This window comes from Homo sapiens, chromosome 12, assembly GCF_000001405.40.
Source record: "Homo sapiens chromosome 12, GRCh38.p14 Primary Assembly".
NCBI classification, from domain to species: Eukaryota; Metazoa; Chordata; class Mammalia; order Primates; family Hominidae; genus Homo; species Homo sapiens.
In genome coordinates, this window is record NC_000012.12 from 30,374,702 (window position 1) to 30,399,031 (window position 24,330).

Here is a 24,330-nt window from a genome sequence, read left to right on the forward strand (position 1 = left end):
TAAATTCACGCACATTGGGTCAGCAGTGCCCTGCCAGTAGAGAGAGTACCAGAGTCAGCCAACAGTAAAAGAGAACTAGGTGGCCACTTGGGTTGGCTTCTGAATCCATTGCTGAAGGGGGGCCACTGAACCATGGGCAGGTAGCCACAAGGGCAATCCCAGATGAGCTCCCAAATTGGTAACTGCCCAAGGGGTCCACATTGCCCACTGCATAGACAGAGCTGATTCATCAAGGCAGAGGAATTGCAATAGAGAAAGAGTAATTCTTTCAGAGCCAGCTGTGTGGGAGACCGGAGTTTTATTATTACTCAAATCAGTATCTGATGTTGTGCTTTTTTTTCATGTGTTTTTTTGGCTACATAAATGTTTTCTTTTGAGAAGTGTCTGTTTATGTCTTTTGCCCACTTTTTAATGGGTTTTTCTTTCTTGTAAAGTTGTTTCAGTTACTTGTAGATTCTGGATATTAGACCTTTATCAGAAGGGTAGATTGCAAAAATTTTCTCCCAATTTTTAGGCTGCCTGTTCACTTCAAAGATAGTTTCTTTTGCTGTGCAGAAGCTCTTTAGCTTAATTAGATCTTAATTGTTAATTTTTACTTTTGTTGCAATTGCTTTTGACATTTCCTCATGAAATCTTTGCCTGTGCCTATGGTTTGAATAGTGGTGCCTAAATTTTCTTCTAGAGTTTTTATGGTTTTGAATTTTACATTTAAGCTTTTACTATATCTAAATTTTTTTATAAGGTGTGAGGAAGGGGTCCAGTTTCAATTCTCTGCATATGGTTAGCCAGTTCTCCAAGAACCAGTTGTTAAATAGGGAATCCTTTACCCATTGCTTGTTTTTGTCAGATTTGTCAAAGATCAGATGGTTGTAGGTGTGTGGTCTTATTTCTGAGTTCTCTATTCCATTCCAGTGGGCTATGTGCTGGTATTTGTATCAGTACCATGCTGTTTTGGTTACTGTAGCCTTGTAGCATAATTTAAAGTCAGGTAACATGATGCCTCCAGCTTTGTTCTTTTGGCTTAGGATTGTCTTGGCTATTTGGGCTCTTTTTTGGTTCCTTATTAATTTTAAAATAGTTTTTTCTAATTCAGTGAAGAATGTCAATTGTACTTTAATGGGAATAGTATTAAATCTATAAATTACTTTGGGAAGTATGGTCATTTCACAATATTGATTCTTCCTATCTATGAGCATGAAATGTTTTTCCATTTGTTTTTGTCCTCTCTGATTTCCTTGAGCAGTGGTTTATAGTTCTCCTAGAAGAGGTCCTTCACATTCCTTGTTAGCTATATTCCTAGGTATTTTATTCTCTTTTTAGCAATTGTAAATTGGAGTTCATTCATGATTTGGCTCTCTGCTTGTCTGTTGTTGGTGTATAGGAATGCTTGTGATTTTTGCACATTGATTTTGTATCCTCAGGCTTTGCTGAAGTGGTTTACCAGCATAAGAAGCTTTTGGGATGAGACAATGGGGTTTTCTAGATATAGGATCATGTCATCTGCAAATAGAGACAGTTTGACTTCCTCTTCTCCTAATTGAATACCCTTTATTTCTATCTCTTATCTGATTGCCCTGCCAGAACTGCCAATACTATGTTGAATAGGAGTGGTGAGAGAGGGAGAGGGCATTCTTGTCTTGTGCCAGTTTTCAAGGGGAATGCGTCCAGCCTTTGCGCATTCAGTATGATATTGGCTGTAGGTTTGTCATAAATGGCTCTTATTATTTTTAGATATGTTTCATTAATACCTAGTTTATTGAGAGTTTTTAACATGAATGGATATTGAATTTTATCAGAGGCTTTGCCTGTGTCTGTTGAGATAATCATGTGGTTTTTGTCTTTAGTTCTGTTTATGTGATTAATTACATTTATTGATTTGCATATGTTGAATGAACCTTGCATCCTGGTGATGAAGCCAGGTTGGTCTTGGTGAATAACCTTTTTGATTTGCTGCTGGACTCAGTTTGCCAGTATTTTATTGAGGATTTTTGCAACAATGTTCATCTGGGATATTGGCCTGGTTTTCTTTTTTTGTTGTATCTCTGCCAGGTTTTGGTATCAGGATGATGCTGGCCTCATAAAATGAGTTAGGGAAGAATCTCTCATTTTCAATTGTTTGTAATCATTTCAGAAGAAATGGTACTAGCTCCTCTTTGTACACCTGGTAGAATTCAGCTGCAAATCTGTCTGGTCCTGAGCTTTTTTCTGTTAGTAAGCTATTTATTACTGCCTAAATTTCAGAACTTTTTATTATTCTATTCAGGGATTCAACTTCTTCCTGGTTCAGTCTTGGCAGGGTGTATGTATCCAGGAATTTATCCATTTCCACTAGATTTTCTAGTTGTTGTGCATAGAGGTGTCTATAGTATTCTCTGATGGTTGTTAGTATTTCTGTGAGGTCACTGGTGACATCCCCTTTATCATTTTTATTGTGTTTATTTGATTTTTCTTTTTTCTCATTTATTAGTTTAGCTAATGGTCTATTTTATTAATTTAAAAAAAACAGCTCCTTGATTTGTTGACTTTTTGAAGGGCTTTTCATGTCTCTGTCTCCTTCAGTTCTTCTCTGATCTTGGTTATTTCTTGTCTTCTGCTAGTTTTAGTGTTTGTTTGCTCTTGGTTTTCTAGTTCTTTTAGTTATGATGTTAGGATTTCAATTTAAGATCTTTCTAGCGTGTTGATGTGGGCATTTAGTGCTATAAATTTTCCTCTTAACATAGCTGCATCTCAGTTTCTGGTACACTGACTCTTTGTTCTCACTGGTTTCAAAGAACTTCTTGATTTTTGTCTTAATTTCATTGTTTACCCTGGAGTCATTCAGAAGCAGTTTGTTCAGTTTACATGTGGTCATGTAGTTTTGAGTGAATTTCTTAATCTTGAGTTTTAATTTGATTGTACTGTGGTCTGAGAGACTGTTATGATTTTAGTACTTTTGCATTTGATGAGGACTGTTTCATTTTCAATTATGTGATCAATTTTAGAATAAGTGCCATGTGGCAACAAGAAAATGTATATTCTGTTGTTTTTGGATGGAGACTTCTAAAGATCTCTATCAGGTCCACTTGATCAGGTCCACTGATCCAGAGCTGAGTTCAAGACCTGAATATCTTTGTTAATTTTCTGTATCAATGATCTCTCTAATATTAAGAGTGGGGTGTTAAAGTCTCCCACTATTATTGTGCAGGAGTATAAGTCTCTTTGTGGGCCTCTAAGAACTTGTTTTATGAATCTGGGTACTCCTGTATTGGGTCCATATACATTTAGTATAGTTAGCTCTTCTTGTTAAATTGAATCCTTTTCCATTATGTAATGCACTTCTTTGTCTTTTTTCTTTTTTTTTTTTTTTTTTTTGAGATGGAGTCTCGCTCTATTGCCCAGGCTGGAGTGCAGTGGTGTGATCTCGGCTCACTGCAAGCTCCCCCTCCCAGGTTCACGCCATTCTTCTGCCTCAGCCTCCCAAGTAGCTGGGACTACAGGCACCCACCACCACGCCTGGTTAATTTTTTTGTATTTTTAATAGAGATGGGGTTTCACCACATTAGCCAGAATGGTCTTGATCTCCTGACCCCATGATCCACCCACCTCAGCCTCCCAAAGTGCTGGGATCACAGGTGTGAGCCAAAACACCTGGCCTGTCTTTTTTTTATCTTTGTTAATTTAAAGTCTATTTTTTTTTAGAAATGAGGATTGCAACTCCTGTATTTTTCTGCTTTCCATCTGCTTGGTAGATTTTCCTCTATCTCCTTATTTTGAGCCTATGTATTTCTTTGCATGTGGGATGGGTCTCTTGAGTACAGCACACAGATGAGTCTTGACTCTTTACCCAGCTTGCCATTCTGTGTCTTTTAATTGGGGCATTTAGCCCATTTACATTTTTGGTTAATGCTGTTATGTGTGAATTTGATGCTGTCATCATGATGTTAACTGGTTATTTTGCAGACTTGTTGATGTAGTTGGTTCATAATATCATTGGTCGGTGTACTTCAGTGTGTTTTTGTAGTGGCTGATAATGATTTTTCTTTTCCATATTTTGTACTTCCTTCATGAACTCTTGCAAGGCAGGCCTGGTGGTGACAAATTCCTTCAGCATTTGCTTATATGAAACGGATTTTACTTCTCCTTCACTTATGAACATAGTTTGGCCAGATATAAAATTCTGGGTTGGAAATTATTTTCCTCAAGGATGTTGAATATGGACCCCCAATGTCTTCTGGCTTGTAGGATTTCTGCTGAGAGGTCTGCTGTTATTCTGATAGGCTTCCCTTTGCAGATGGCCTGGCCTTTCTCTCTGGCTGCCCTGAACATTTATTCCTTCATTTTGATCTCAGAGAATCTGACGATTATATGTCTTAGGGTTGATCTTCTCATGGAGTAACTTACTGGGGTTCTCTAGACTTCCTGAATTTGAAACTTGGACCTACTTGCTAGGTTGGAGAAGTTCTCCTGGATGATACCTTGAAGTGTGTTTTCCAATTGGGTTTAATTCTCCCTATCTCTTTCAGGTACCCCAATCAGTCATAGGTTCAGTCTTTTTACATAATCCCATAAACTTGTCTGCCTGTCTTATTTCAGCAAGATAGTCTTCAAACTCTGAAATTCTTTCCTCTGCTTGGTTTGGCTATTGAGACTTGTGGTTGCATTGTGAAGTTCTCATGTTGTGTTTTTCAGCTACATAAGGTCATATGTGTCCCTCTCTAAGCTTGTTATTCTGGTTAACAGCTCCTGTAATGTTTTATCATGGTTCTTAGCTTATTTGCATTGAGTTAGAGTATGCTTCTTTAGCTCAGTGAAGTTTGTTACTACCCACCTTCTGAAGCCTTCTTCTGACAGTTTATACATCTCAGCCCCAGTCTTGCACCCTTGCTAGTGAGGTATTGTGATCATTTAGAGGAGAAGAGGCACTCCGGCTTTTTGAGTTTTCAGCATTTTTTCATTGATTATTTCTCCTCCTCCTCAGTTTATCTAGCTTTGACCTTTGACTCTGCTGGCCTCGGGTGGGGTTTTGTGGGAACTTTTTCTTGATGCTGTTGTTGTTGTTGTTGCTTACTGTTTTTGTTTTTTCCTTTAATGATCAAACCCCTCTTCCATAGGGCCATTGTGGTTTGTTCGGGGTTCACCCCAGACCCTATTTGCCTGGGTCTCTCCCACCCCTGTAGATGTCACCAGGAGAGGCTCCAGAATAGCAAAGATGGCTGCCTGCTCCTTCCTCTGAGAGCTCTGTCCCAGAGGGGCACCAACTTGTTGCCAGTGGGAACATTCCTGTATAAGGAATGTTGTGGGGGGATCTCACCCAGTTAGGAGGCACAGGATCAGGGACCCACTTAACAAAGCACTCTGGCTGCCCCTTGGCAGACGGGGTGCACTGCACTGGGGTAAATCCAAATCCCACTTGTCCGGACTGCCAGGATTCCTCAGAGCCAGGAGGGAAAAAGACTAAGTCTGCTGATCCACAGAGATTGGCCAGCCAGCCCCCACTCCCAGGGGCTCTGTGTCAGGGAAATCAGAGTTCTGTCCATAAACCCCTGGCTGGAGTTGCTGAAATTCCAGCAGGGTGGACCCAACTGATGAAGAGAGATGGGTCTTGTTCCAGCCTAAAGAAGCAGTCTGGCCACAGTCTGCCACAGACACTATGCTGCACTTTGGAGAATTACTCCTGGGTCCAAACCTCCCAGACCCCCAAGTACCAGCAGGGAAAAATGGCAGACTGGAGCTGCAGTGATGGCTGCTGCCTCAGACCCTGTGAGCTCCATCGTCTTAGGCAGCAGGCACCCACAGTGATGGTGGCCACCCTTCCCCCTGGGAACTCTGGAGTCTTAGGCAGTCTCCAGCTGGGCAGCCACAGAGAATCTGCACAGCTTTGTGCTTGGGACCCAAGGCCCTTGTGGTGTGGGCTCACCAGGGGATCTCCTCATCTGTGAGTTACACAGACCTGTGGAAAAAGCGTGGTTTTCCAGGTGGGGTAGCACAATCACTCACTGCACATCTTTACCTATGTAACAAACCTACACATCCTGCACATATACCCTGAAACTTAAAATAAAATAAATAAAACAAAATAAAATAAAAATACTCCAGAGCATTCTGGGTTTTTTTTTTTAAACAACATCTACCCTCTGGAAAAACTATTTAACCAACACATAACTTCTGGGAGATTTTATCAGAGACTAACTGATCTGGGGGAAGGGAGATACCCAGCTCCAGCTGGCTCTAGCCCGCCCCATGGGACTGAGGGCTGGGACACATCAACACCCTGAAAACAAAATCACATGATCATATCAATATATGTACAAAGAGTATTTGACAATATCCAATACCTGTTTGTGATAAATACTCTCAACAAGCTACTAATGAGGGAAACTTCCTCAACTTGATAAAGAACACCTATGAAAACCTACAGCTAACATCCTCTTGATGAGAAACTAGAAGCTTTTCTGCCAACATCAGGAAAAAGACAAGGATGTTCCTTCTCACCACTGCTTTTCAACATCATACTGGAAGTCCTAACTTATGCAATAAGACAAAGAAAGGAAATAAAATATATTCAGATTGAGAAGAAAGTAATTAAATTGTTTTTGTGCATAGATGACATAACTGTCTATGTAGAAAATTTGAATAAGTCAGTAAAAAAAACTCCTGGGACTCATAACCTATTATAGTAACGTTGCAGGATACAAGGTTAACATGCAAAAGTCAATCACTCTTCTGCATACCAACCATGAAATGGAATTTGAGATTAAAACCCCATACCATTTACTTTAGCACCCCCAAAAATAAAATACTTAGGTATAAACCTAACAAAATAAGTACAAGATTTACAAACTTGGAATGAAGAAAACTGCAAAACTCTGATGAAATTAAATAGCTAAAGAAATTGAAAGATATTCCATGTCCATGCATAAGATGACCCAATATTGTCAAGATGTCAGTTCTTCTTAAGTTGATCTATAGATTCACAGCAATCTCAACTAAAATCTCAGCAAGTAATTTTGTGGATATTGACAAACTGATTCTAAAGTTTATATGAAGAGGCAAAACTTCCAAAATACCCAACCTAGTTTTGAAGAAGAAGAACAAAGATGGAGGACTGATACTATTCAACTTCAAAACTTACTATAAAGCTACAGAAATCAAGGTGGTATGGTATTGATAAAAGAACAAACAAACAGATAAATGGAGCTGAAAAGAGTCCAGAAACAGGCCTAAGTAAATATAGTCAACTGATCTTTGACAAAAAGACAAAGGCATTACAATAAACAAAAGATAGTCCTTTCAAAAAATAGTACTACAACTGGACAACTACATGTAAAAATCATTCTAGACACAGACATTACACCATTCACAAAAATTACCTCAAAATGAAACAGACTTAAATGTAAAATGCAAAACTATAACAATCCTAGAAGATAACATAGGAGAAAATCTAGTTAACCCTGCATTTGATGATGATATTTTAGATATAATGCCAAAGGCATGATCCATGAAATAAAACATTTGATAAGCTGTACTTCATTATAATTAAACATTTCTGCTCTGTGAAAGACACTGTCAAGAGAATGAAAAGACAAGCCACAGAACTGAAAGAAAATATTTTGCGAAAGATACATCTGACAGGCCAGGCGTGATGGATCACTCTTGTAATCCCAGTACTTTGGGAGGCCTAGGAGTTCAAGACCAGCCTGGGTAACATAGCAAGACTTCATCTCTATAAAATACATATATATCTGACAGAGGACTCTTATCCAAAATATACCAAAATCATTCAAATCTCAACAATAAGAAAACAAGCAACACCATTTAAAAGTAGGCCAAAGAGGATCCAGGTGTGGTGGCTCATGCCTATAATGCTAGCACTATGGGAGGCCAAGGTGGAAGGATCTCATGAGCCCAAGAATTCGAGTTCAGCCCGGGCAACATGGCAAAACCCAATCTCTATAAAAAACACACACAAAATTAGCCAGACATGGTGGCTCATGCCTGGGGTCCCAACTACCCAGGAGGCTGAGGTAGGAGAATCACTTGAGCCCAGGGAGCAGGGGTTGCAGTGAGCCATTGGGCCACTGAACTCCAGCCTAGGAGATGGAGTGAGACCATGTCTCAAAAAAAAAATGGGTCAAAGACTTTAACAGACATCTCATCAAACAAGATATACAGATAGCAAATAGGCGTATGAAGACATGCTCTACATCATATGTCATCAGCGAAATGGAAATCAAAACAATGAAGTAACACTACATGCCTATTAGAATGGCAAAAATCTAGAATACTGATACCACAAAATGCTGGTGAGGATGTGGACCAACAGGAACTCTCATTCATTGTTGGTGGGAATACAAAATGGAACAGCCATTTTGGAAGACAATTTGGTGATTTCTTACAAAAGTAAACATTCTCTTACTATGTAAATCATCAGTAGTACTCTTTGATATTTACCCAAAGGAGTTAAAAACTTATGTCCACACAAAAATCTGAGCAATTATGTTTATAGCAGATTTATTCACAATTGCCAAAGCTTGGAAGCCACTTAGATGGCCTTCAGTGGCTGAATGGATAAGTAAACCGTGGTGCATCCAGACAATGGAATATTATTCAGCACTAAAAAGAGCTGTCAACCCAGGAAAAGACATGGAGGAAGCTAAGTCCATATTACTAAGTGAAAGAAGCCAATCTGAAAATGCCACATACTGTGTGATTCCAACCTTATGACATTCTGAAAAAGGAAAATCTAAAAATCTATGGAGACAGAAAGATCAGTGGTTGTCAAGAATTGGAGGGAGAAAGGGATGAATAAGTGGGACACAGAGGATTTTAAGGGCAGCGAGACTACTCTGTACACTAGAATGATGGATACGTACCATTATATATTTGTTCAAAGGTATAGAATCTATAACAGCAAGAGTGAGCCCTACTGTAAACTATGGACTTTGGGTGATATTGATGTGTGAATGTAGGCCCATCAGTTGCAAGAAATGTACCACCCTGGTAAGGGACATTGATGTAGGGAGGGAAAAATCTTTTTCCTCTACCTGCCTAAGTTCTCACCTGGAGGCCTGCAAATTAGGCTGATAATAAAAATAAATAAATAAACAGATTAACAAGAGAAAAAAACAAGAGTTTATTAACACCTGCAGCATACATATAGGTGGGAGAAACTCAGTGGTGAGTAAAATTTCATCTTAACAAAAGAGTAATAACTTTGTAGAGAAATGACAACACAAAAGAAAAGGTTTTAGGCTTCCGAGGGAGACAAACTGTGGGAAAGTAAATCTATGGAAGGAAATTAATGGATGATAAGTGTTATTTCATAAAGCTTGTTTGTGTAGACTCCTTTTGTAGTCATGTCATCTCTGGTGATAAATTTGTTATTCCTTTCCTGGTACAGAAATTGTAGTTGGAGGGGGAACACCTTCAGAGGGAAATTTTTGTTCTATTTTCAGGCAAATAGGGGGAGGGCAAAGAGCTCACCCTGTATGTGCTTTTTCTTAATCATTTTCAGTTTGAAAAGATCTTTATGCCAGCTTGCCATATTTTGGTGCTTGTACTCTGAACCCCTTTGTTGATAATGTGGGAAATTATGCATGTTTGAGGGCAGAGCACATATGGGAAGTCACTGAAGCTTCCACTCAATTTTGCTGTGAACATAAAACTGCTATGAAAAAATAAAACCTATTTAAAAAAGCTAAAGAGTAAAAAATACAGTTTCTGGAAGTATAAAAACTGAATAAATGAATCTGAAGAAAAACCATTCTGAAAAGTATTATGATAATCAAAATATCACATTAATAAAGTATTATGATTTTTGTATTATATAAAATTATGACACCAAAAATATTTTGTAAGTTTATGTATCACCTTTACCCATATTACATTGTATAAATAATAAAGTATTTTAAAGAAAGAAACTTTATATTTTAGTAGTTTTAACTACACTTTTTTCTGACATTTTGAACACAGGTATCTACATTTTCATTTTGCATTGCAAATTATATAGCTGTCCTGGGCACATGTTTCCTTTCTACATGCTTCAGTGATGTCACTCACCACTTTTGTTTATCTGATTGACTTTGAGGAAGGAGGCCAAATAACCTATAGTGTCTCCAAAGTAACTGAGTTTAACTTTTTCCATTTTAACTCTAGGACTTTATTTGAGATTATCAGAAGACAAGTTTCCCACTGATCCCCCTAACGCCCATTGGACTATTTGAAGCAAATTTTTAATATTATATCATTTTATACATATACATGTTACCATGTATTTCTAAAATACAACATACTCAGTGTGCTATTAGTGTATTTAGTATGTTCATCCAAAAGCAAGACTGAACAAGAAAGTGATAAGCACTAGATAGATACAGCTTGATTTAAGTGTTGGTAAGCTGGAAGAGGATGGGGGATTAAGCAGCAGTGGCACAAACCTCTATTGAAAGTAACATGCCCTTCCCCAATAAGGATGCAAGTTATGGAATGAATAGGCCCAACCAACCACAGCCATATAGAATAAAAGGATTTGTAATGAAAGAAGCAGAAAAACCCTTTGTCTCTGAGCAGGAACATTCTCACATAAAACAAAGAAGTGCTGCTCTTTCTGTCGCAGAGCATTAGTTTTTCATAGATACTATTATAGGCATATTTCTAAGATAAGAAAATGCTTTAGCTTTCTGCTATTTATTAGGTGAAAAGCAAAGCCATGAATATCTTTTTGCACATAAATAATTCTGAATTTTTTAGATATTCTTAATAAAAATGAGTACTTGAATTTAAAGAGTCATACAATTTCATTAAGCGCCAGTTGATGGATGCCGCTTCTCCTACAGGGTTTTCTTTCCTTTTCTTTTCTGTTAGGAAGCCTCTTTACTCGTGCTAGGCTAAATAATAAAAATACAAGACTAAATTGCTTAATTTGAATTTCTGGGTTTTAGTGCTACCTATTCCATTTTGTTAGCAAGACATGTCTTCCCATTAGTAGAATTCATAGTAGAAATTGGTAAATTATTCATCTTGTTTTTCTGTTGTATTTAAAAAAAGGAGAGATCCTACAGGGCAGAGATTTTCAACAGATTACTGAGTTTCTGAATTGTTTGCAGAATTAAACAAGAGGAGTGTTTGAAAAGTAATACGTAAGTCAATATGTTAAAAAGAAATATTTTAGTTACTGATTACAGCTAGCTTCACGAGAACTCCTCCCAAAAGCAATTAGTCTTTGAATTGATTCCAAATGCCTTCATTTCCACTTAAAATTGCCAAAAACGAAAACAAAAAACAAAAACAATGCGCTGCCAGCTTTTCCAGCAGTGTTTAAACAATTAATTTGCAATATTGATCTGAATGCAAATGAAGTAGAAGACAAAGAGTGTCTGTTAGCTTCCATTTAATATGCATTTTTTTAAATGACACCATTTTAGGTGTCAAATAATCTTGACTCTATAATATTAAGGAAGGCCCTTTTAGCACTTTTGTTTTATTTTCTTTCTTTTTTAGTTTTTTTTTCTTCCTGGACTGCAGAAGTAGTTGTGTAAAAAATAAGCAATGCAGGCTGGGCGCGGTGGCTCACGCTGGCAATCCCTGCACTTTGGGAGGCCAAAGTGGGAGCAAATCATTTGAGGTCAGGATTTCTAGACCAGCCCGGCCAACATGGTGAAACCCCGTCTCTACTAAAAATACAAAAATTGGCTGAGCATCGTGGCAGGCACCTGTAGTCCCAGCTACTCAGGAGGCTGAGGCAGGAGAATTGCTTGAACTCAGGAGGCGGAGGTTACAGTGAGCCAAGATCTCGCCACTGCCCTCCAGCCTGGGCAACAGAGCAAGACTCCATCTCAAAAAAATAAAAAAATAAAAGCGATGCATATATTTTATTTAAAATATCTACCAAAATAATCCCATAGAGATTGTACCTTCTTAAAATACAGTCTTTATATTTGCCCTTTTCAATAAGATGATGCAAATATAGAACAGAAAAAGAGACTGAGGATGACATACCTCGGTCCAAAGGTATGTCCACAAAACAGAGCTTAAAATTAAAATGAATAATTTTTCACATAGCCTAAAAATATTCCATGGTTCAAGCTACAACTAGATATAGAATAAGAAATGTTTATTTTGAAATCCTGTTTTCCATATCCCCTATTAAAAAAACATTTATTATGGAAAATGTGTGATTTGTACAATGGTAGAGGGAACAGTATAATGAACTTCATGGACATAATGAACAGTATAATGAACTTCAGCAGTCATCACCATGTGAGCAATACCATTTCATCTATATTCCCCCCACTCATCACACCCCTATTGGACCACTTGAACCAAATTTTTGACATCATATAATTTCATACATGTACATTATAGTATGTATTTCATTTTCTTTTCTTTCTTTTTTTTAAACAGTACCAAGCACTGTTACCCAGGCTGGAGCGTAGTGGCATGGTCTCTGCTCCGTGCAACCTCCACCCCCCAGGTTCATGCGATTCTCCTGTCTCAGCCTCCTGAGTAGCCGGGACTACAGGCACGTGCCAACAAACTCGGCAATTTTTTTCACCCAGCTAATTTTTGTATTTTTAATAGAGACAGCATTTCGCCATGTTGGCCAGGCTGGTCTCGAACTCCTGGCCTCCACTGATCCACCTGCCTTGTCCTCCCAAGGCCACTGCATCCTGCCTAGTATGTATTTCTAAAAGACAAGAGCTCTTTTAAAAGTACGACCTCAACACAATTACAACACTTTAAAAAAAGATTCCTTATTGTCATATATCTAGTCAGTTTTTAAATTGCTCTAATTATTATCTCATAAATGTTTTCTAATGGTTGGTTTGTTCAAATTTGGATCTGAATATTTGTTTGAAAGGTCTCAAATCATTTTAAACTTAGAGTTCCTCCTGTATCTTTATTTTTCCTGCAATGCATCTGGGAATGAAATAGAGTCATTTGTTCTGCAGTTTCCCACATTCTGGATTTTGCTGGTTATATCCCCAGTTTTCAGGGATTTGGACTTTTGTTTCCATTTTTACTCTAAGCTGGTAGCTAGACCTAGAGGCTTGAACAGCTCATGTTTGCTTTCTTGGCACAAATACATCATAGATGGTTTTGTGTGCTTCCATCAGATGAGAATCTGGTTTTCCACTGAGTGGTGCTAACATTGATAAGCCCATTCCGGTGTTATCAGACTCATCCAACCCCATCAGCTTTGGGCCTAGTATTCGTATCAGCCTGTGATGATCATTGCAGTAGATCCATTATTTCAAGAGGAAATTGTAATTTTTTAAAGTATGTTTTTAAGAGTCAGGGTGAGGCCGGGCGTGGTAGCTCATGCCCATAATCCCAGCACTTTAGGAGGCCGAGGTGGGCAGATTACCAGGTCAGGAGATCGGGACCATCCTGGCTAACACAGTGAAACCCCGTCTCTACTAAAAATATAAAAAATTAGCTGGGCATGGTGGCGGGCGCCTGTAGTCCCAGCTACTCAGGAGGATGAGGCAGGAGAATGGCATGAACCCAAGAGGCGGAGCTTGCAGTGAGCCAAGATGGCACCATTGCACTCCAACCTGGGTGACAGAGAGAGACTCCATCTCAAAAAATAAATAAATAAAATAAAATAAAATAAAAAAATACCCTGACGTGGTGGCAGGCACCTGTAATCCCAGCTACTTGGGAGGCGAGGCAGGAGAATCGCTTGAACTCAAGAGGCAGAGGTTACAGTGAGCCGAGATTTCACCACCGCTCTCCAGCCTGGTGACAGAGCATGACTCTGTCTCAAAAACAAAACAAACAAAAAAAGGGTCAGGGTGAAAGTATGACAAGTAACAAAGCTGTCGTCTTCTTTCAAAGTTTGATCATCACGAGAGTCTTCTCTAGGCAGGTGGGCACATAGCATGGGCCAGGACACTATACAAAAGCTAGCCTTACTATCAGAGTGTATTAGGCCACCCTTGCATTGCTATTAAAAAATACCTGAGACTGGGTAATTTATAAGAAAAGAGGTTTAACTCACTCATGGTTCTGCAGGCTATACAGGAAGCACAGCACTGGCATCTGCCTCTGGGGAGGCTTCAGGAAGCTTACAATTATGATGGAAGGCAAAGGGAGAGCAGGCATGTCACACGGTGAAAGCAGGAGCGAGAGCACCAGAGAGAGAGTGTGTGTGGGTGTGGGGGCAGGGGGTGCCGCACACTTTCAAATGACCAGATCGCATTAGAGCTCACTATCATGAAGACAGCAGCAAGCCATGAGGGATCCATTCCCATGATTCAAACACCTCCCAATCAGGCCCCACATCCAACACTGGGGATTATAACTCAACATGAAATTTGGGTGGAGACAAATATCCAAGCTATATCACAGAGCACACAAGGATAAGCCAGACACAAGTCCCAAAGGGAAAACGCAGGAAAAGGCAACAGTCAAGGTTTCAGCATACACTGCACTATTTATACTTTAACATTTTACAAATGACATTTGTAGAGAAAAGAACAGGGGAAAAATGCTGAAGTATGCCCATCTTTCCTTCTTTCAGTGTGTTTCTCCACTGTGGCTTGAGATGAGAGGAATGAATCTCTCCCACTGACCCTCACCCTGATACTTGTTTGAAGACTTTCCACTACCAACTTTGGAGGGATGGAGAGATGGAGAGGAGACCAGGAAGGAGGAGCTGGGAAGAGTGTTTCAAACCAGTAGCTACTGGTACTGAAACCTATCCAATTGTTCCATAGAACTGATGTTTATTGTTTCTTTTTGATAAACATAGAAATTGACCCTCCCAGTTTTGAAACCTGAGAAAGTTATATTTGTCTTATCTGGGTTCCTTTCTCAGGAAAGCAACCACCGGGATTCCCAGATAGTATTAAGGAACTGAAACTTACCAGATCACCACATGTGGACAATGAGGTACCCCTCACCTGTCACAATTGCCTAAGCAACGACTTGCTTCCTATTGATCAACTCCTCTTCCTTAGTTCTCCTTAATTCTCTTGCCCTGCACATAGTTACATTTTTGTTCTATAAACCCCTTATTTTAGTTAGGGAGATGGATTTGAGACTGATCTCCCATCTCCTCTCCTCAGCTGTAGCACCCAAATAGAACCTTTTCCCTGACTATCTTCATTTTCTCAGTGATTGGCCTTCTATGCAGAGACAGCAGGACCCAGACCCAACCCCTGGTGTTTAGGTAACAAATTTTGATTCTCTAACTGAGACCACGTTGCTTGTGGCTCAGCTGAGTTGTGCTGAGAGTTTTGGAAGCCTTCCTAAGCAGCCTCCTGACCCTATTTTGGCTGAAGGTGGGTATTTCTCTGTCCTTATGGCCCCATCACTGCTGGCATCAACCACATTCCTGGTTGCCTAGGACAAGCAGCTTTTGAAATTTGACATCTGCGTCCAGATAGGTTAGTGTCCTTTATTGGCCCAGACAGCAGGATCTGCTCCTCTTAATACTGGAAATTTTAAAGGAATTTCTCTCTACATCTGGGACAAGCCCAACTGACTAAGAAAGAGAAGCACCCTGACTGTTTCAGTTTAGACATGCCAGGGAGCTTGTTTTCTGAGGCAGCAGTTACATTGTGTTTTGGTGATTGTTTCTGTGTGTGTTGATATAGTCATGGGAAATTAGAATTTAATAAGCTGTTACTCTTTTGTAATAATGTTTAGTTCCAATGTTCTTTGGAACCTGGAGTTTGCTGTTGAATGGGAAAGTGAGATGGAGTTCTGTGTATTCAGGCTTTTATTCTGCTGTTCTAAGCAGAATTGGGTCTGGTTAGTAGGTTCCAGGTGATGTTCTGTGGTGCTGTTTGGCCTCCAGTGTTCTCTGGAATCTGGGAAGGTTTGCCTTTACAAATAAAACTGCCATGGAAATTGCTTTACCCAAAATTTTGGTTCACAGCTTTCATTGGATTACCTATCAGGACAAAGTCTGGCCATCTGAAAATGTTCATAGACCAGAGAGTTTGTATTGCTGTCTCATGGCTAGAATTCTGAGGTAAAAGCTATTGGTTCTTTGTGTGTGTGTGTGTGTGTGTGTGTGTGTGTGTGTGTGTGTGTGTGTGTGTGTGTGTGTCTAGATGTTACATGTTGTTTTACACAGTACCAATATGGCTTATAAGTAAGAATGCTTATAAATAAATAAGTCCAAGCAATTTAAAAGTTCATGTGACTTAAGTAAATCTTTAATAAACAAGCTGGTTTAAAATTATTGGTAAAATAAAAATAGGAATATCTTCAGAATTGTCAGCATACATTTTTCCTGGGTTTATATTTGTGTCTGCTAGATATTTTGAGGTGTTAGGTTTTGACACAGAAGGTTATAAAACTATGAACCCAGCCAAAACATAATGATTTTGTTTGTGTGACTTTTTGGACAAATAAGACTAAATTATTATTGTTAGCTTAATAAAAACAGCTGAATCTTCTGAGTTATCATATTAGCAAAATACCTATATATTTAATTTTAAGGTTCTTATTTAGGTGAACATCTGATATTCACAGGCTATTAAAAATCATTAAGAAAGAAATAACTTGAAACAATGATTAGCTTTGTTTAATATTTTGGTTTTCAGAAGAAATCTAGATAAGCTGTTTAAAAATGAGAGAATTGAGTACATGTAAATGGGATAAATGCTGTTGGTGAACTCTCCGTGTAATTTAAATATGAAAGTTATTTTCGATTGAATAATAGGCGCTTGTAGGATGTCTGAGTCATTGCCAGTTAAGAAGGAGTTGTGATACAGGGGGAATATACCTCTAAAAACTGTGGAATGTTCTCGTCTATAAAATACTAATATCTGATAGTTCAAGATTTCTTGCTTCTTAGGTTTTCACTAAAATTTAAGGTTATTAAGAAAAAGAATTCTAGTTAATATATAATTCTGTATATAAAATGTGCCAAAGAAGATGTGTTTTCACTGCAAAAAAAGAATAATATCTTCTAATTCAGAAGTTGTCTAAAGGTTAACTCAAATTATGGAGTTGAAAAGGGATATTTATAGAAACAGAGTAGAAAGGAATCAGTACATAAGGGAGAGAGATGTGGAGAATGTTAGAAATATGAAGATATATTTACAGTAAGGAAAGTTGTAAAGAAAAGAGAATAATTTTTTACGAGAAATGAATTTGTATGGTGAATTTTAGTCCTAAAGTAAAATGAATGGTTATTAAAAAAAAAAAAAAAATTAGGACAAAGCAGAAAGTCCAAGCATATCATAGATGATCTATATAAGTCATACATAGTCTTTTTTCCTATTTCTCTGTGTGTCTATCTTCATGCATATGTAGAGAAAATAGAAAGTTGAAAAGATAGTAATATATTAGGCAGTAAAATATTCTTTAAAACTTCATAGAAAATTGGAAAAATTTGGTCAATTAAAACTGCTCATAAAGTTCTTAGTCTTGATGGCAGTAAGTTAAAAAATATTGTAAAGAAATACATTGGCAATTTGGCAACTCTTTTTAATATAGGTAAGCATGAAGCCAGACTTAGCATGGAGCTGAATTTCACGTAAGTGCTTGCATTGCTTCACACTATATTTGCGATTTTGCATAGATAGGACTACCACTAAAGTACTTACTGGTCACATACCTAAAGTGAATTCCCGAATTGCACAAAATATATAGTAGTATTGGTGGACTTAAAGACATTAATATGTATATCAGGAACGAAATATTCATCCTGTGCTTTTCAGGCTCTGGGTAACATTGTAGACTCCAAGGTGAATTGAGTAGGAGAAAAAATGGGGGTTGGTTTCCTGTTTATTTGTTTTTGCTTCTAATTTTCATTTATTTGCTGTTTGTTTTCCTTTGGGATATATATATATCCTTCCATTAGAAATAGAAATCCTTCCATTAGAAACTAAGAAACACGTATATATAAAATATTATATAACATATATAAAAACATATGTATGTTTTTTAGTTTCTAATGGAAGGATTTTTTATTTAGTTCTATGAATAGTCACTTTGTTTCCTATGCATTTCCAACAATTTATCATTTGCTTTATTTATCTAAAATTCCTAATCTGTCTTGCCAAACCTCCAAAAATTGATAGAGTTTCCCAGCTATTTAAAACTTAATTCATTTTGCTGGCCAGGCATGGTGGCTCACGCCTGTAATCCCAGCACTCTGGGTGGCCGAGGTGGGCAAATCACCTAAGGTCAGGAGTTCGAGACCAGTCTGGCCAACATGGCAAAACCCTGTCTCTACTGAAAATACAAAAATTAGCCAGGTGTGGTGGCATGCACCTGTAATCCAAGCAACTCGGGAGGCTGAGACAGAAGAATTGCTTCAACCTGGAAGATGAAGGTTGTGGTGAGCCGAGATCTCGCCACTGCATTCCAGCTTGGGAGACACAGCAAGAATCTGTCTCAAATAATAATAATAATAGTAATAATAATAATAATAATAAAATAAACTTAATTCATTTTGCTTATCTCTGATGATCTAGATAGCTACAAGAGCTTTAAGTTCCCCAACAAAAAATAATGAATAAATAAATAAAAATAAATAAATAAATAAAGACATTTTTAGAAGTTCTGAGCAGAAATAGGACTTTTGTTTTGAAATGGAGTCTTGCTCCATCACCCAGGCTGGAGTTCAGTGGTGCCATCTTAGCTCACTGCAACCTCTGCCTCTTGTGTTCAAGGGATTCTCATGCCTCAGCCTCCCCGAGTAGCTGGGATTACAGACCCCTGTCACCACACCCAGCTAGTTTTTGTATTTTTAGTAGCGATGGAGTTTCACCATGTTGGCCAGGCTGGTCTCAAACTCCTGACCTCAGGTAATCTGCCTGCCTCAGCCTCCCAAAGTGCTTGGATTACAGATGTGAGCCACCTCACCTGGCCAAAACAGTACACTTTTTGTTATTTGAAAAAGAAGGTGAGAGTACAAATGTTGAAATGGTGTTTATTTCCACAGTAATTCAATTCGATCAATAATTTGAGGTGGTTTCAGATGTTTTCCTTTAGGTAATGAGGGAAAACTGTGATATGGATACAAAGTTTTAATGTTCAGGAAAGACTGGCCTTGTCGTTAAGAAAATTATATTGATTGGGATTTCTCCTAAACTACTTTAGTTGTGTTTACCAATATTAACATTAAGTGATATTCATTTGGATTAAGTAGTAATTTTAAAAATGTGAGACTTTCTAGTGATTTTTGAACCCAAGCCATTTATCACTGATATGCCTTCATATGTATACTTAAAAACAATATATGTACAAGCATCACACTGGTTTGAAGATTCTAGTGGTAAAATTTACCTAATCAGTTGTCAGTACCTTATCTAGAAACCAATCTTGGAAAAGTGTTATGATACTCTTTTAAATAGCTGAAATGTCTCACACTTGTAATCCCAGCACTTTGGGATGCCAAGGCAGGCAGCCTGCTTGAGCTCAGGCATTCAAGACCAGCCTGGGCAACCTAGCGAAACTTTGTCTCTACAAATTAAAAATTTAAAAATTAGCCGGGCATGGTGGTGTGTGCCTGTAGTCCCAGCTACTCTGGAGGCTGAGGTGGGTGGATCACTTGAGCCTGTGAAGTTGAGGCTGCAGTGAGCCAAGATTTCATCATTGCACTCCAGCCTGGTTGTCAGAGTAAGACCCTGTCTCAAAAACATAAATACAGACATGGAAGAAAAGAAGTTGTGTAATGGTTCTACTTTGGCCCTATTTTGTTGTACAGAATTTCAGTGGAAGATTATTTATCCTCCTGCTGAGTTTCTAAAACTGATATTTATATTTACCATTTTTTTAATGATGGAGAGAGAAGATAGTTATCTTACTTTGTTTGGCATAGGACCTATCATATTTGTGATGCTTGTAGTCATAGTTCTGTCACTAGAATGCCAGCAATTAGACATACGAATATAGTAACCTAACTATTTTAATACAGTGTTTGAAGTGTTACAGGCAGTAACTGCTAAACACCTAATCACAGTGTTTTAACTTGTGACATATCAGAGAGAATTATAGGACTTTCTGCAGTATAAATGTCCTATTAACTAATTATTGTACTAAGTTATAGGGCTTTAACCCCTGGATCTAAAAAAGGCACTGACTCTTATTGCATTGACACCAGTCATCTTCAGACCTGTCAGAAGGTGGCAATCGAAATGAAATGCTTTTGTGAGACAAAGGGCCAGAAATTTAAACTATTCAATCCCTCTATGCTAAGACACTATTACAGAAGAAGTAGACATGTGAGAGATAGTAAGGGTTGATGTTGAAAGATAAGATTGTCACTGGGACGTATGGGGTCCTTAGTACTTGTCTTCTCGGAAGAAGGAATTCAGCCAAGGGACATGCAGCAAGGGCTAAGTAGTAGCAGAGTTTATATAAAGTGACAGTACACTCTGAAAGACAAGGCAGAACAAGCTGCTTGGGAGAATGAGCTAGCATTGGCTAAAACAGGGAAATCCCCTTTGTGGGGATCTTACATGATTATTCACTAAGAAGATGTAAAGGGGTGCCACTAGCAAACATATTTTTGGCAGCTCTCTGGGTGCACTTGTATTATGGCCGTACATGCTAGTACATATGTTGTGTGTCTCACTGTCATCTTCAATTTCCTCCCAGGGGTGTATTTTTTACTATTATAATGAGCAAAGTCTACTCTAGGGTGAGTTATTTGAGGAGTGTGCATGCTTGTCAGGGGTTAAAGATTCTGCTGGTTATCTCCGGCCAGGGCCTAATAAGTCCCAGTCAAGACCAGATAAGCCCAACCACAAGGCCAGATGCAGCCATTGTAGCCACTGTTTTTTGCTGAGTCTCGTTTAGAAGTATCTCCAAGGATGCCTTTCCCAGGGCTGCCTTTCATGCTCATGTCTATCTATCTGCCTACTCTAATGTTCCCCCCTCAAGCAATTGACACTCTGAAAATCTTTGGATATAAGGATGTGTAGGTCTTCTATAATTATTTCCTGCTGACATAAGATGAAGAATACATCAGAGTCTCACTGTCTTCCTGTCTTGGAAGGAGTTCCTCCATTGTTTCCTGAAACTTTTGCCCATTGGCATCCAAACCAAGGTGTGTGCATAGGTTTTGGGGCCTCCAGGTATAATTGATTGACATCCCTGCTGTAGTATCATTTGCAGACTGGTAGCCTGAATGTGGGAGAAAATTAATTTAGTTAATAAATTGATGAGGCAAGGACCTAAGAGGAGAAGGATCACAGTGGAGAGTGGGCCCACAGAGGAGGCCAGAATCAATTAAGGATGTTGCATGTCCCCAAAAATTGGCCTGTAGATGTTTACCTCTTTCTTGTAGCCATTGAATGCTGTCCTGTATGACTTCTGACTAGTTCACATAAAAGCAACATTCTTTTTTTACGTATAGCAGAGGTTCCTCCCTGAGCTGAGATGCTGATGTCTAAGGTGTGGTGGTTTTGGTGGACCATCCTCATGGGATAACATGGCATGCTCTTGTTGAGAGCTTAAAATTTCTGCAGCTCCTGTTACCACTTCACTTAATCTGGTTTCTAGCCCCAGAGCCATAAGTAAGGGGAGAAAAGCTATGGCTACTCTTGAGATGCAAACTTGGGAGGTAAGGGGGATAGGAACCGACTGGTTGGTTTAGGAAGGCCACATCACAGGAAAGACAAATCAGAGATAAACTTCCCCTCCAATTGTTAGGGAGGAATAGATATGCAACCACAAATAAAGTCTGACTCTTGCCAGCATAGCTAGGGGAAATGGCTAACTGCACGTGTCCCCAGGCTTTACTTAGAATTTAATGGCTCTATATCAGGCAAGTTGAACACTTATCAAAAGTCACAGAAGCAGTTTATGACTTTAAAGCATTTAGTAGACCTAATATCTTACCTGCATAATTTATACCAAATGTCTAAATTTTGAAGACATTCTCATTTTATGTTACAAATAATATTTAAAACTGTCTTTATTTGCCAAAGATTACTAAAGTCACATGAACTAAATGGCACTGAAGTTTCTATTTTCCTGAGAAAATATTTGATTTAATCACTTTTTCTTTAAGCTAATTAATTAGCATTTTTATATGTACATCACAGACACTATATGTGTGTCTGTATGCATATGTGTGTATATATATACACACATACATACATATAGACAGAAGAAGTTTCAGTCGTTGTGAGATTTTTATTTGCCAGTTTTTACATTTTTCTTTCCCATTTTGCAACTTACACAGACCATCCGTAACATGCTTGAACTTTCCAGCTTGTCCTAAACTTCCCTCTTTTCTAAGTATTTAGTCATTTTACTTTAGGACAAGAATTTACCATACAAGATCTTTCCTTATATAAAACTTATTTCATTTATAACCTTCTTTACCAAAAATGCATCTTCATATTCATAACTTTTTTATATCACTTTCCCCTACTTTGTGTTTTTTCTTTCTTTTTACCTTATTTTCATTTTCTTCTGTTCCCTATAAATAAGATTCCCAATATTGAGGCTATTTTATGTTAATGCAACATTATCTGTTTGATGTTTTGGATCTGAAAACTCTGAGATGAGAAAGGAGAAGGCATTTACTTATCTTTTTGTTTGAAGAGAAACTTCAGGTCCTCCAGTGGTTCACAAAAGTAACTGGGTGTTTGTTCTGTTTCTAGTTATTTGGAGCCTTTCTAGGTATTTATGTGGGAATGATGGATCCAACTATGGATATCAGAAATCTTAATTGTTGTTGGAGTGGAAAGTAACACAGTGAAAAGTCTTTTCCATAAAGGGATTTGTTGGGATTTAGGGGACCCATTTTTCAGATTTTAATAAGGACCTGAGCCAACTATGGCCAAATTTTAAAATATTTTTCCTAGTGTCTGAGGCAGTTTGGGTATTGCAGTTCCAACTGGGATCCTGATGAGGAATGCACATGGCCTCAGCAGGCCTACATGTAGGTCATCCCCACAGTGGAGTGCTGCCTCACTGATGGTTTGACTTTTTCTCATGAGAAGGCTTGTCCTAGCAGATATAAAAAACCTTTATTAATCTAAAGGTAAATGTCAATTTTGAAAGCCCTTTATGAGTCTCTTGGGGTCACCCAACAACTTTCCTAGGTTTTCCGTAACTTGGCAAAAGTCCTACCTGGTAAAGAGGACCTGGACCTGGGTTTATCTGGTTGGTTCACTTACCTCTTGTAATGGGCAGAGCCTGGAGGAAGAGCCAGGGGGTAGCTGTTTCTCCCTCTTTGGCCTCTGGAGGAGGAGGCTGAGGGGAGTGTGCATGAGAGTTTCCAAGTCTTCTCCATGGGCTCTGGATCAGGTGTCTAAGCATAGTTAAGACAGTGGCATCTACTTTACAAGCTTTACAAAGGTGAGGGTCTTCCCTTAAGACCATGAAGGTTTGTAAATATGGGACCTCTGACTATTTGTCCTGATGGTGGCAGAAAAGGTCCATCTGAAGGATAGTATTAAAATTTGTACTTCCATTCTTTGGCCAGGATTTTCATAGTTATGTAAAGGAAAATTAGTTTTATCTTTTTAGTTTTAGGGTTTGAAAGTCAAATTTATTTCAATTTTTAAGGGTACATTTGAGTGGGGGAAATCCTGGGGTATGGAGATCTGGATTCCTGGTGACCTGGTCTATTAAGAGTCCCATTCATCGTGCCACTGTTACCAAAACACCAGGAGTTTGGTTTAGGTCCTGCTACTCACCACACAGAAAGCCAACCACTGAGACAACAACAATTTCCAAGGAAGAAGGCTTTAATAACATGCTGCAGCCAAAACAGGAGATCAGTCTCAATTACATCTCCTTGATTAACTAAAATGAGGGGTTTATACAACAGGGAAGAAATGTAACAATGTTGGAAAACAGGAACTAGGGAGGGGTAAGGAAATAATCATGACCAATGAGGGGTGTGTCATCTCATATCTGGATGATTTTCAGATCTGGTGAGTTTCAGTTCTTTGATACTATTTTTGAGATGCAGGAAAGTCATTTCCTGAGGAAGGAACTCAGATAAATATAAATTTCAAGCTTTAAGATCAGAAAGGTCAATTTCTGTTTATCCAAAAAAAAAAAAAAATCTGTCTATGGGACTATCAAGTGGGTTTCACACCCACTAGAGCTTGCAGAGAAAGGACCTCAACAAAGTGCCCTTCGATGAGTCTACAAGTTCTGGCATTAGGAATCTCATGGTTCAGATGTGTCCTTGACATAACCCAAATGAAAGAGAGAAGGAAATCAGAAAGGTCCTACCTGAAAAAGAAGACAAGGGAATCACACTTGTTTTCTCATTCAACCTTTCATCCAGGGGGCCTGGATCCTGTAGAAAAATATTACTCATCTGAAAGAGAAGAAAAGGGAGTATTCCTTTTCTCTCAGGCTCACCAACCTGCACCCAGGCCTCCCTGGGGCCCACATGGACCAACTTCCCCTGGA